Source organism: Homo sapiens, chromosome 1, assembly GCF_000001405.40.
Source record: "Homo sapiens chromosome 1, GRCh38.p14 Primary Assembly".
Classification (NCBI taxonomy): Eukaryota; Metazoa; Chordata; class Mammalia; order Primates; family Hominidae; genus Homo; species Homo sapiens.
In genome coordinates, this window is record NC_000001.11 from 242,251,174 (window position 1) to 242,265,760 (window position 14,587).

At 38.7% G+C, this 14,587-nt stretch overlaps 1 protein-coding gene across 11 annotated transcripts in view; it reads right to left on the reverse strand.

Moving 5' to 3' along the window:
- PLD5 (phospholipase D family member 5) overlaps nt 1-14,587 on the reverse strand; it is a 447,561-nt gene that overhangs the window by 168,188 nt on the left and 264,786 nt on the right. For 9 of the 11 annotated variants that reach the window (XM_011544115.3, XM_011544116.3, NM_001320272.2 and 6 more), the window contains one exon: nt 14,164-14,275. In XM_011544115.3, the coding sequence (XP_011542417.1) occupies nt 14,164-14,275 (112 nt within the window). Of the gene's footprint in view, nt 1-331; nt 1,240-14,163; nt 14,276-14,587 lie in introns of those variants that run through there. The other 2 variants (XM_011544120.3, XM_011544119.3) reach the window with 2 other exon arrangements.

The following is a 14,587-nucleotide window of genomic DNA, read 5'->3' on the forward strand; positions in this document are numbered from 1 at the left end:
GAACTTAGGAAAAACAATGTGTGGGCCATCTGCATATCGGTGATGAATGAAGCCACAGAAGCAGAAGCAATCAATGCAGCAAGAGTAAATAAAGTGAAGAGAAGGGAAGAGGAAGAGAAAGAAGAGAAGAAGCCAATGTTTAAGGGAATGATAGTGTATTCAAAATTGGCAAAAGAGACTGAGAAAGCGTGGCCAGAGACAGAAGGGAAATACAGAGTGAAACCAAGGGACTAGACAGTTCCAAGGAAAAGAAAAAAGCAGTACATAGTGTTCAAAGCTGAAGAAAGGTCATGTGATACAAGGTCTAAGATATTCCCACCGAGTTCCATACCTGGAAGTCCTCCGGGACTTTGACAAGGTAGTTTCAGTGGAGTCAGGGCAGAGCCGGGCTGCCGCAGTTGGAGGACTGCACAGGGGTAGGACCAGTGGTGCATAAACCTGAACATGGAGAAAAGGGCAGGCATTGGGTGGGGAACACCTGCCAGAGGGGATCTAGGATGGATAGTGCCAAGTTCTTTTTCCTTTCCCCTCATTGACTTGAGTGTGTTTATACATTAAGGGGAGAGAGCCATTTAAAAGGCAAAGGGTAAATGTAAAGGTAAGAGAGAAAAAAACTTGACTGAAATTCCTGAAAAAGTGGGACCAGATGTCTCAGGTGGAAGAGTTAGCCTTGGAAGAGAATCAGAGATAACCTCCTGAGGTTGAAGGAAAGGAGATGGAGATGCATGTAGATATGGAAAATGTACTGGGATAGAGCACTGTGATGGGAGAGTCCCAGGCTGATAGCCTCTAGTTTTGTTTGTTTGTTATGTTCAGTAAGTAAGAGACATGATCTTATGGAGAGGAAAGATGTTGGTTAGGAGACATAGAGTGTGAGTATAGCTGTGAGTATTTGGAATACCTTTTCCTGTGTATGACGTAGGAGGAAGTTAGTTGAATTACCAAGCATGAGAAAGGGATGGAAGGAAATGAGCTAAAAAAATAGATAAAATATAGTATGGGAAGAAGGTGGGCACAAAAATAATAGGCCATGGCCAAGGTTCATGCTGAACAGCCTGCTAGGAAGAACAGAAATAGAGCTTGGCATCTTAACTCACACCAGTTCTCGTGACATTGATTTAAAAAGCAGGTGCAATTGGGATGTCCACGGAGTCACAGAAGTAAGGGATCTTACTCACTCATGAGGATAATGAATATTCTCTGTCTGGCTACTCCAGGCAAGGCAGGAACTGCTCTGTCAGAAGACAATATGTCTCTAGCCAGTCATGGTGGCCCACACCTGTAATCCCAGCACTTGGGGAGGCCAAGGTGGGAGGATGGCTTGAGCCCAGGAGTTCGAGACCAGCCTGGGCAACATAACAAGACTATCTCTACAACAAAGAAAAAAAAAGTCTCTAGTACCCTTCAGAACATACACGTGGATGTGTGAACATAGATGTGGAGACGAGGGCTTCTGAAAGCCCTTATGATTCTGGGGATCCCATGATCAGTATTTTTAGCAACTAGCTTTTCTGTTTGGGACTGAAAAAAATAGAAAAGCTACTGGCTAAAAATGCTGACCGTGGGATCCCTCGGAATTATAAGGACTTTCTGAAAGACTGCCATTTATTCATTTATTTATATCTTTATTCCTCTTCAGTGCCTTTTTTTTTTTTTTTTTTGAGATGGACTCTCACTCTGTCACTCAGGCTGGAGTGCAGTGGTGTGATCTCAGCTCACTGCAACTTCCGCCTCCTGAGTTCAAACAGTTCTCCTGCCTCAGCCTCCCGAGTAGCTGGGATTACAGGTGCACACCACCAAGCCCGGCTAATTTTTGTATTTTTAGTAGAGACACGGTTTTACCATGTTGCTCAGGCTGGTCTCAAACTCCTGACCTCATGATCCGCTTGCCTTGGCCTCCCAAAGTGCTGGGATTACAGGCGTGAGCCACCGTGTATGGCCCTTTTTTTTTTTTTTTTTTTTTTGAGGCAGGGTCTCACTCTATCGCCTGGCTGGAGTACAGTGGTGGATCATAGCTCACCGATCACAGCTCACTGCAGGGTGGAACTCCTGAGCTCAAATGATCCTCCCACCTCAGCCTCCCAAAGTGCTGGCATTACAAGTGTGAATCACCACACCCAGCCTCTCTTCACTTTTTTTTTTTTTTTTTTTTTTTTTAAGACGGAGTCTCGCTCTGTCGCCCAGGCTGGAGTGCAGTGGCGCGATCTTGGCTCACTGCAAGCTCTGCCCCCTGGGGTTCACGCCATTCTCCTGCCTCAGCCTCCCAAGTAGCTGAGACTACAGGTGCCTGCCACCACGCCCGGCTAATTTTTTGTATTTTTAGTAGAGACGGGGTTTCACTGTGTTAGCCAGGATGGTCTCGATCTCCTGACCTCGTGATCTGCCCGCCTCGGTCTCCCAAAGTGCTGGGATTACAGGCGTGAGCCACCGCGCCCGGCCGCTTCACCTCTTAAAGAACATCCTCCCCAAATTCTAGCATCCCTAGAATAGAAATACATAAAGCCACAACCAGATGAAACAGATAAAATTCTGCTTTTCTCCTGTCACAAGGTTGAATATGCATATAATTTCCTTGAAAATGTTATTCCTGCTGAGGTTCTTATGTATTAGGGATAAAAATAAAACCTGTAGCACAAGATTCTATGTTTTAGAGCAAATGTTTAGATTTTATGTGTTTAGATGGGTACGACTATATTATATGTATCAGATGAACCCTTGTGAAAGTTTAAACACATTGAATTGCAGACTTAACTTGGGCAGCTCTTAGAACAGAGACGGAAAACACAGATGGGGAGTCACTGGTGTCACCAGCTGAACAATTCCAATACAAACTGAAGCCAGCAAGAGTTAGTGCACAACCATACAGGCAAACAAACCAGCTGCATTCCCAAAGACGATCTGTAATGTATGATTAAAACCGGGGCTTTTCTTTCATCAGAAAATCACAGATCTAGGTTTGTAATTTAGAAGCAAAAATAAATCCAGTCTGGTCTAGTGGCACTGACAGGTCAAACACAAATAGTACACACTTGGGTAAATTAAGGCAACAGCTATAGTGGATGTCATTTACTAACAGTTCGTTATGAGGTAGGCACCTGCACCAGACACTTTTTATATATTATCTAATTTAATTCTCATAGCTCTCAGGGAGGTTATTATTATCCTCATTTAACTGAAAAAAAAAAAAAAAAAGAAAGAAAGGAAAAAAAGGAAAGGCTGGGCGTGGTGGCTCACGCCTGTAATCCCAGCACTTTGGGAGGCTGAGGCAGGCGGATCACCTGAGATCAGGAGTTCAACACCAGCCTGGCCAACATGGCGAAACCCCATCTCTACCAAAAATACAAAAATTAGCCAGGCATTGTGGTGGGCACCTGTAATCCCAGCTACTCAGGAGGCTGAGGCAGAAGAATCGCTTGAAACTGGGAGGTGGAGGTTGCAGTGAGCCAATATCACACCATTGCCCTCCAGCCTGGGCAACAAGAGTGAAATTCGTCTCAAACAACCACCACCACCACCACCACCACTGAGGCTCAGAGAAAGTGCCGGCCTATGGTTACACCACACAGTAATGACAAGTTTAGAATTTCAGCACAAGGTCGGGGCCACAAAAGTACCTGTTCCTAGTTATTATGCTAATTACGCTGCTAATTATCACTAAAAAGCATAATGTGGCCAAACGAGCATAGGATGAAAAGTTTCTGCCTTGCTGCCAAATATTTTGGTGTGCTATGAAGAAAGGTGGAAGACAGAATCCCTTGCAATACACTTTGACGGCAGCGTATAGGACAAAGGCAGCAGCCTTCAGGCAATCAAGCATGAGCCTCTCAAGTGGCATTCGCTTTGAGAAGGTGTGAAATGAAAGCACATATTGGAAAAGCATGCCGGGGTGACCGTTGGGGCACCCTGACTTCCATCTGGGCCATTACCAGAGCAGACCCAATACAAAGCAGCTTCATAAGTCCCCTGTCCAGAGGATTCCACATTCATGATAACCATGAGGACTGTCCTTCACTTGAAATGTTCAGCCTCCTTAACGATGGCAACCTTTCAGACAGTGGAAATGAAAGGTAGAATAATATAAAGTTTACTCTAGGGAAACTACCAAATTATACTTATAAGGCTTACATTAAATTAGCACACACAGGCATACATACTTGTAGAGTTAGATTTTGGAATAATTATAAAGCAGTAAAACCTAAGTAAAAAAAGCCTCAATAAGCTATCCTCCACTGATTTGGAGTAAGCTGTTCAAAAATCACCTTGTAAAATGCAGAGTTGGAAACTAGGGCAGCTTGCATTAACTTAAAAAATTACGCATGCTCTAAATGACGAGTTAATGGGTGCAGCACACCAACATGGCATGTGTATACATATGTAAATAACCTGCACGTTGTGCACATGTACCCTAAAACTTAAAGTATAATAAAAAAAATTACACATGCTTCTATGCTCAGATTTAGGAATATATTTTCCCTTTCAAAGATTTTGTTAAGCCTAATCCATGAATGTGAAAATAAAAATATGGATTATCAATGATGAATGAGTACAGCTTTCTTAAATTTAAATAAGCAATGGCAAAGATCACATTTAGAATTCAACAGAAAGAATTCAGCAGCTCCCTGTCCTTTTTAAAATAATGTAGCTAAAAGAACACCAGAACTCAACGATTTAAAAATACAGTGTTATTAACAAGAGTGACAGAGATTTAGTCTTATTTCAATTAAGATTTTGACTTTAATGAATAAAATTTAGTCACGAGTAAAGGCCAATTAAACGTCTACCAATTGTTCAATGCTTTGTGGGATCGTAACCCAAATGACCTAAAGATGCCCAGCCAGGGCTTATTAGGTCCCTGTGGCTATTGGTTATTCACTAATATGGGTAAGGCTCTGTCTAATTGGCTCACTTACTTGCTATATAGTGCTAATGAGGGAAAGTTGGGGTCACTTTTAAACTGGGTGTCTGAGACAGTCACTCAGCAAATGTATGACTTGAGTCACAAGGGGAGCAGATGAGTGGATGCAGAGGGCTGAGCACTGTCACTGTGACCAAGAGTTCACCCCAAGAGCATGCTTTGTATTGCCTTTATAAACAAAAAGTAACAGAAAGGAAACAATATGGATAAAAAGATAGGGAAATCTAGAAATTTAATTTTAAAATCTCATGGGGAGAAAAATCTGAAGATCTATTTCTCTATCTGATTTGAATGTCCCTCAAGAATCATTCGTTTAAACGTAATTCCCACTGTGGCAGTATTAAGTGGTGGGGTCTTTGGAAAGTGACTGAGTCACGAATGTATTGGTGTCTTGTAGCGGGGGTTGAAAGGAACAAACTTAGATTCTTTTGTGCCCTTCTGTCTTATCCGCCACGTGAGGACACAGCGTTTGTTCCCTCTGGGGGATGCAGTAACAAGGCGCCATCTTGGAAGCACAGAGCAGCTCTCAGCAGACACTGAACCTGCTGGTGCCTTGATCTTAAACTTCCAGACCCCAGAACTGTGAAAAAATAAGTGGCTGTTCTTTATAAATTGCCCAGTCTCAGTTATTACAGCAGCACAAATGAACTAAGACTATCATCTATCTATCTATCTATCTATCTATCTATCTATCTATCTATCTATCTATTAATATCTATCTTTCTATGTATCTGTCATCTATTTCTTTCTTTCTGTGTATCTGCCATCTATCTTCCTATCTTCTTTCTTTTCTCTCCCTCTTCTTTCTCTTTCTTTTTTCATCTATCTATCTATCTATCTATCTAATCTATCTCTACCTACTGTCTTCTATCTATATCTATCTACCTACCTACCTACCTTCTTTCTATCATCTATCTATCTATCATCTATCTATATCTACCTACCTACCTTCTATCTATCTATCTATCTATCTATCTATCTATCTATCTATCTATCATTTATCTATATCTTTCTATCTGTCATCTAACTATCTACCTACCTATCTACCTACCTTCTATCTATGTATCTACTATCTATATGAAGAATCCCAAAAAGGAAAGAAAATTCTTGACACATGAATGCTCTGGCAAAACAAAACAAAACCTTGTAAAAAAAAGTTTTGTTATCAGCTCCTTAAAGTTATCACAAAACATATATAGGTGGCACAGACTAAGCTCTATGTTTAATCACTTATAGGTCTGTGTGCAGGAGAGAAGGGAGGGGGAAGAAAATACATGTTTGATTCCAACAGACTGAAAGCTTGCAACACCAGCTGAGCAGGACTGTGTTAACACCCCAAGCCCACAGTGTGCTGGACCATCAGGAGAAAGAGGCACAGCCTGGAGGTCCCCAAGCTCTAGGATGAATTTCTTTCTGTGGTTGTGTAATTGGGCTGATCACTGGCAATAAGGAGCGATCTACCGTACAACATGGTGATAACAGTTAATAACAACGTACAAGATTATATTCTTGAAAATTGCTAAGGAAGTAGATTTCAAGTGCTCTCACCACAAAAAATAAGTATATGAAATAATGCATTTGTTAATTAGCTCAATGTACCCATCCCACAATGTATACAGATTTCAAAACATGTTGCACATGATAAATATATGTGACTTACTTTTCAGATAAAATCAATTTAAAAGATTTATTTTTTTTTTAAAGACCAAACAGCACCTAGTGACAGAGTTTAGCCCATAAGTGAAACTGGTTGTTTGTACGGTCACTCTCTCTTAGCAGATAATGTCAGTGGGAACAAACGCCTGGGCCTTTTCATGCCTGTCACGTTTACCACTGCGTGTTTGCTATCCCTCTTCTTTTTAGAACCAAGCTCTCATGATTAGCCCCTCTTTTTTCACTTGGGTTGCGATTCATCACGCTGCATAGCTAGGAATATGATTTCTGATATCTTTCTTGTCTATCCCAGGAGACTGTCTCTTCTCCAGTGTATTTCAGGTTTCTGGTTTCATTGTATTGTTTTCCTATAGAAATTGCATATAAAAACCGATTTGAATAACTTCCTTCCTGTTTCAGGTAATAGAGCAGTTTTTGCTTATATTTTTGGATAGGCACACTTCCTATCACTGAATGCTCTAGCCATCAAGGGGGTCTGTAAAGACCCCCACATTTCTTAAAAACCAGCACAGCCTGAATTCTCCGAATTTCCATCCACTGAGTATGGTCACTGCACTATAAAGAAGCCCTGTTGCAAGAGGTTTAGTTTAGAATCTACCTCTCTCAGTGTGGTATGAGGAATGGTCATTTTAACTTAATTAACTTATTAAAGTTTAAAGTTTCTAAGTTGAATTTTCTAGTTTATTACTAAATATTTTAAAATAACACTTATTACTCTAAGTCATTGATTCTGAAACATTTAGTCTTCACATTTTAACATCTCTGACATTGCAATGCATCTTACGATTGCTACAGACCAAGTGACAAGTTGTGACAAAGTTGTCACTGCATTATTCCTGGTGGCATGACAGAGCTCTTAAAGTTTCCCAATATTCAGTCAACAAACCATTTAAGGACCCTTTGAGGAAAGAATACAAGATCTGGTTATTGTCTGAATATCTTGCTTTGACATATTCTGGTAAGCTTCAAAAACAAGCTTCTGATTAGAGACAACAGTAATGCATTCTGTTTCTTAAAGCTACATAGCACCGTTGACACTCTTGGTGGTACAGAGACAATGCTGGGTGGAAAGCATGGGCATCAACCACTGTTGCAAAAAGTGATTCAGAAACATTGGACTCTGTGTAGATGTTTTAGGAATTTCTTGATCACTTGATTTCACTTATTGCTTGGTTTTCTCTACCAAACTCTGAACTCTTTGAAGTTAGGGGAAGGCTCATGTCTTAGTCATCTTCCTCTCTTTAAAGCCCAAGTTGTTGGCACATGACAGATAGTCAAGAAGCAATTGTTGGATTAAATATTAATGAACAATGGAGAAAAAGTAGATGGTAAGATCAACCAGGGTAAAGAGATGAAGGTGAAAGGGAAAATACTATGTGTAAGGCTTAAAAATGGACTTGGTCAGGCATGGTGGCACATGCCTCTAGTCCCAGCTACTGGGGAGGCTGAGGTGGGAGCACCACTTGATCCCAGGAGTTCAAAGCTGCAGTGAGCTATTATAGTGCCAGTGTACTACAGCCTGGGTGATGGAGCAAGACATCACCCCTCTCTCTCTCTCTCTCTCAAAAAAAATAAATTAATTTTAAAAAGGATGAAAAAGAGCTTGTAAATTGACAAGGGAAACACATAAGGGTATTTCAGGCACAGGGAAAACAATATTTTGAGAAACACAGCCCTGAAAAAGTAGGTTGTATTTGGGAAATCACAATTAGCTTTCAGATACTTCAAAACTCAATTATAGTAAATAATAAGAATGAGACTGAAACGAGATATTTCAGATCCTAAATGGTTTCAAATGCCTTATTATTATTTTATTTTATTTTTTAAAGAAAATGTGAACTTAACTTCTAGGTCACTGATTCTAAATCTTCTATGACACTTATTTCACTCATCATTTTATCATCCAACCATGAACAAATAAAAGCCTGCTTTTTTTTTTCAAAAGGAAATTGATATTTTCTGACTTTATTTTATTTTTAATTGTTGCTAGGCTACAGAGGCATTAAATATTGTAGTCATATTATAGAAAGTACAATGAATTGTTATGGTTTTGGTGGACAAATAATTCTTAATTTTCAATTTAATTGCAACAGTAACTATAACATACAAGAATTAAAAGTACAGTGGTATCCTTGAGGGATATTTTGCTTAGGACTAGAATATACAACCAGAGATAAAAATTGTGTTAGTAATATAAAAATTCAATAATATGACTGGGCTATTACTAGATTTGGTGAGAAGTAGGATATCAAAGGCATTTGCTGGGAGGCATGAGCAGAGAAAACGGGACTTAAGAGAATTGTTGGCCAGGTGGGGTGGCTCACGCCTGTACTCCCAACACTTTGGGAAGCCAAAGTGGGCAGATCATGAGGTCAGGAGTTCGAGACCAGCCTGGTCAATATGGTGAAACTCCATCTCTACTAAAAATACAAAAATTAGCCAGGGCTGGTGTCATGCACCTATAATCCCAGCTACTTGGGAGGCTGAGGCAGAAGAATCACTTGAATCCGGGAGGCAGAGCTTGCAGTGAGCCGAGATGGCACCATTGCACTCCAGCCTGGGTGACAGAGTGAGACTCCGTCTCAAAAAAAAAAAAAAAGAATTGTCACGATTACTCCCTGTAAGCCAAGTGGTGGCAGCAAGTGGCACATCCCTCAGGAATACGGATTTGAAGAAAGCAGAGGATTTCAATGACAATCTCACATCTCATTTAGCTTGTTTGTGAAGTCTACCGATTAAGATCATGTATCAGACAATGAGAAGCTATTTCACTTACACTCCACTTTCAGCTTTTAGACTTATAAGGGTTGACAAAATGCAAAAACAAAAATGAAAAGCTGTATGAAAGCAATGGAAAGCCTTGATATTTATAAAACAAATTTATTTAAATAAATTTTTGTAAAGTAACTTTCTAAAAATACCAAATGACTGAAATCATACCAAGTATATTCTATGAACATACATAATGAAAATAACAAAGGATAAATAGAACAATCTCCAAACGTTTGAAAATTAAGGATTACATTTCTAAATAGGCCACAGTACAGAGTAGACTGCAGTAGAAATCAGAAAACTTTCTGGACAGAAAACTAATTTAGAAATTTATGTCATATTAAAAATAGATGCAGCTAAAGCAGTAGTAAGAGGAAATATTGTAGCTTTGCTATAGGCATGAAGTAAAAGATTCAATATTGTCCATGTCAATTTTCACCAAGTTTATCTACAGAGTCAGTGTAATTCTAATACAATTTCAGTAGTTTTATGATAAGACGGTTCTAAAATTTGTTTCAAAACCTGAAGGTCCAAGAATAACTAAGGCAGTTCTAAAAGTGAAAAACAAAGATGAAAGTTCCACCATCTGTAACACATATTATAAAGGCAAGGTAAACAGTATGGCATTGGTCCTGGGATAAACAAGTAGACTGAGAAAATACGGTAAAGAATTCAAAGACAGAACTAAAATACAGTCACCTAATTTTTAACAATGATGCCTCGAACATGCAGTGAAGAAACTTTTTTAAACGAACGACCCTCCGTAAGTATAAAAATGAACCTTTACTGCTACTTCATACCATAAGCAGAAATAAAGTCCAAACTTAACACAGACTTAAATCTGAACAGCAAAATAATATAGTATCTAGAACACAACAAACAAGAAAATCTCCATGACCTTGTGATGATAAATAGTTTGTATACAGGATGCAGTAAGCATCAACAATAAGGGAGTAATTAATAAATCAGATTTCATTAAAACTAAGAATTTCCATTTATGTAAACACATCCTTGGAAGAGTGAAAAGATAAGCCTCAAATGGATGAAGATATATGAAATACATATATCCAACAAAGGATTCAAATCTAGCCTAATAATCAATAGGAATGGGCCAATTAAAACAACAATAACACTGGGCAAAATACTTGCAGAGGCACCTTCTCCAAGAGAATATGGAAATGGTCAATAAGCATATGAGAAGATGCTCAATATAATTTGCCATCAGAGAAATGAATATTAAAGATACAACATGATACGTATCCACCGGAATGGCTAAAATAAAACAAGGTGCCAAATTTTGCAAGGATGTGGAGCAAACAGAACATTAACATAGTGTTTGTGAGAGTGTGAATTAGTACAACCACTTAGAAAACTGACTGGCCGTATCTATCGAAATCGAACACATATATAGCCTATTATGTCAGCAATCCCAATCCTAAGTTCATACTGAACAGAAATGTATATGTGTAGGCATCTGAAAGACATGTACAAGAATGCTCATAGCAGCATTATATGTAATAACCCAAACTAGGAAAAACCCAAACATCTATCAGTAGAACAGATCCACTGTATTATATTCATAAAATGGAATACTATACAACAATGTAAAATAAACCACTGCTGTATCCAACATGTATTGGTCTTATAAACATAAAACTCAGCCAAAGAATCCAGATATAGAATTCTGTGATTCTATTTATATAAAGCTCAAAGAAAGATAAAGGTAATCTATGGTAGAGGTCGAAATAGTGGTTCCCTCTGCGGAGGGCACTGACTGCAAGAGGGACTGAGAAGGCTTTCTGAGATGTCTGCAACGTTCTACATCTTGACCCGTGACGGTTTTATGTGGATGTGTTTACTTTGTGAAATTCATTGAGCTATATATTTAATACTTGTGCCTTTTATTGCATGCATGATATTCCTCAGGCATCCTCACACCTGCATGCAATTTGGGGGAACACGTAAGGTGATAATAACCATGTGGTGGAAGATCTCTTTGGTAGCTGTGTGGAAGATCAGATGGTGAAAGAGGAAAGGTGACAAAGGCTTAAGCAAAGTATTAAGAGACCTGAAATAAGGCAGGTATGTGAGGAGGAAATGTGGTATCTAGAAGAAAGACGGGGGGATAGAGTCTATAGACCATGGCTCATTAGATGTGGCGTACGAGAGCGTGGAGTTGAGTTTCTAACATGAGTGACTGAGCACATGGAAATTCAGGTATAGGGACAGATGCTGTGTTGGTGCAGGGAGGGAAAGAAAGCATGTGAGCTGAGTCAACATGTTGCATTTGAGATGTTTATATGAGGGATACAGGTGGAGATGGTTAGGAAGTGAAATTAAGAAAACTGATTAATAAAACCCATTTTGAATTTACAGGGACCCTTGTGTAAAATTAAATCCCTCCCTGGGTGCAAGGACTTCATGAGGGCTAGGTTTCAAAAGCACCTCACCTCCAAGCCACAGTTTGAGACCTTGGAGAGATGGTTTATCTTTCTGACTTCTGAGTCAAGGAGAGAGGCAAAGCATGGGGAGCAAAAGGAACAGGAATGACCTGCACACCACCCGTCAGAAGGGCCTTGGCCAGCTGTCTCACTTCTCCAGCCTGCCTGGCCTTTTTCTGGGCCTCCTTACACCTGCACTAAATCTTTGTCATTTACTGGGAAGCCCTACTTTTATTCTTTTTCACAATATATTTGATTAGTTTCTATATTCAGTAACTCTTGCAGCTGAAATTGCTCATGGCTTATTTTATATTTACCTATTTTTTTCGTGGGATATTTCTGGAAAAAACTTTCTAGAATTTTGCTAAAAGACTAGAATCCCTCCCCTGCAAAAAGATAACCCTTAAGCAAGATATTCAATCACAGATTTAAAATAGTCTCATAAAAATTATTTCTAAAATGCACTGTGATCATTTAATATATGTCTACCAAAGGATGAGAGTAGAGAAATACAATAACTGTATTCTAAAGACTTATACATGTTCTACATACAGTATACACATCATGTGCATCCCTAAGAGCCAGAGAGGCCTACCATCACTACCTAGAAAATAGCTATGAGAAATTAGGGTCCTGTTCATTGCTTTACTCCTATGAAGGAAAATCATTTGTTTTCGTGTTTTGATAAGAAGTCTTATTATATTTCAACAGAATCTAAGTTGTAGTAGTATCTACATATGCTTGGAAATTCAAACACTTCTTTTTCTGTGAGATGCAATTACTATAATGAAATTTTAACATATAGTTCACAATAGAAATGTAAACCAGGCCTTTATTCGTGCATTTGTCAATCACTATTTGCTGTTTACAGTAGCAAATATTCAGCAACTCCAAAGAAAATCTGTTAGGCTTCCTAATATCCCCAAGCTTTAACTTTTGGTTGAGTTTACAAGCTTTAGCATGGGCTATGGCAAGAAAGAGAGCTGTGGATGTCTCGGGCTCCCTCCTTCTCTTCCTAACACATCAGCTTTTTATCCTGCCAGGATAATCAAACCCAAAGAGATGCTAGGAAACTCCATAAGGAAAATCATCTGCAAATACAGGACCCTCGGTTAACCAAAAGTAATCAATTCCTCAGAAAAAAAAAAAGTGTTCTCTAACAAATTATCAGATAGTGAGAACCCAATTTTACATTTTTAAAAAATAGGAAAAGTAAGAATACATTTCTAAGCCACGTTGATTGTATCTGTCAATCCACTGAACTGGGCACTTACAAGTTTTTCAAAGACATTCTGCTGCACCCAAGTAGCACAGCACAGCTTTTCAAACATACGATTATCTCATGTTTTATTTTCCTGTGCATAGAAAACATGTGCATGGTGGTAGGTACATGTGCATGGCCAAGCTTACGTCTTCTATGTGGTAATGACTTTCAATATGCTTTATCACTTCCAATTTTTCTTCTTCAGGAGGAAGGGCCGCTGGGGCTCACTTATTTGATTCCTGTTCTGTTCCATTCTTAGAAGGAATTGCCACTTAAAAATGTGGGGAAGACGACAAGCAAAAAAGGCACAGTATGTTTAAACAGCACAAACATGAGCTGTAACGCCATCAGGTGGAACATGAATGACTCACTGAGGTCAGTGCCCTGTCCTCTTCTAGGGACGTCCGGCAGCTTGAACATTTTCACTGGCTCAAACACGCCTTTTCCTTTTAGAGGCTTACAGTTTGGATAATAAATTCCAGGGAACAATTTTTACAAAACAGTAAAAACTATTTGGATGTGAGAGCTCAATTCGGTTGACATTATAGCAAAATAAAAAAAAGTTATTTTGGAATTATCTTCAGTCTTCATGAGATTGTGAGAAAAACTGCAAAGTGGCTATATAAATGGTGTTCTCCTGTGGAATTGTCTTTAAACTCATGAATCAGGCAATGTTTCATAGACTCCAGGACCTGACTATATTATTTTTTAAATATATAGCGTGAAAAGGATTTTCATTTGGCAGGCAAGTGAAAAGTAGAGATCCAGTGTCTATTCTGACGCGAAGTGGTTCTTCTCTGTAATCACACCGTTGAAGTGTTCAGAAAGGGTAAGATTCTTCTTTCCAGTTAATCATCATTTATTGACCAGTAGATTATTTTGCTTACACTAATATGCAACTGTTTTTTTAAATCCCAATATATTAATTAGTTCCTCCACTCAAAAACTTTAATCGAGTTATTTTTCAAAGATGTAAATGTACTATGTACTAAGTGAAATGTACTAACCATAAAGAAATTATATATTATTTTAAGTGAAATTAAAGGTATCTTAACAGAACACCCAGCGGTAGAATAGCATATCAACCTTGGTCTTACCCTTTAATTTCAAGGCTTCTAATACCTTTGAATCAGCTGTTACATCACTCACTAGCTTGATTTCAATATTTTGCGAAGTCAGCTGGAGCAACTTTTCAAAAAGACGTTGACCCTGGAAAAAATATTCAGAGACAAAGAAAGTCAGAAAACCTAAATGTTTACCAATTTAGACAGGTAAAAATAAACTCATTAAAATTAATCTATTCGTTCAAATGTTAAAAAGTCAAGCATTTCAACAACTGGTATTCAGATTTATGAAATTCTTTCAAAAGAGTTTATATCAATAGAGTAGTAGCATGAACACAGATTGCACTTTTTGGGGGGTATTGTGCAATTGAACAATTATTGCAATAAGAATTCCAATGCTACAATGCAAATCTACCCTTTTCTGCTTTTTGAATCTGTTATCTACACATGAAGAGGC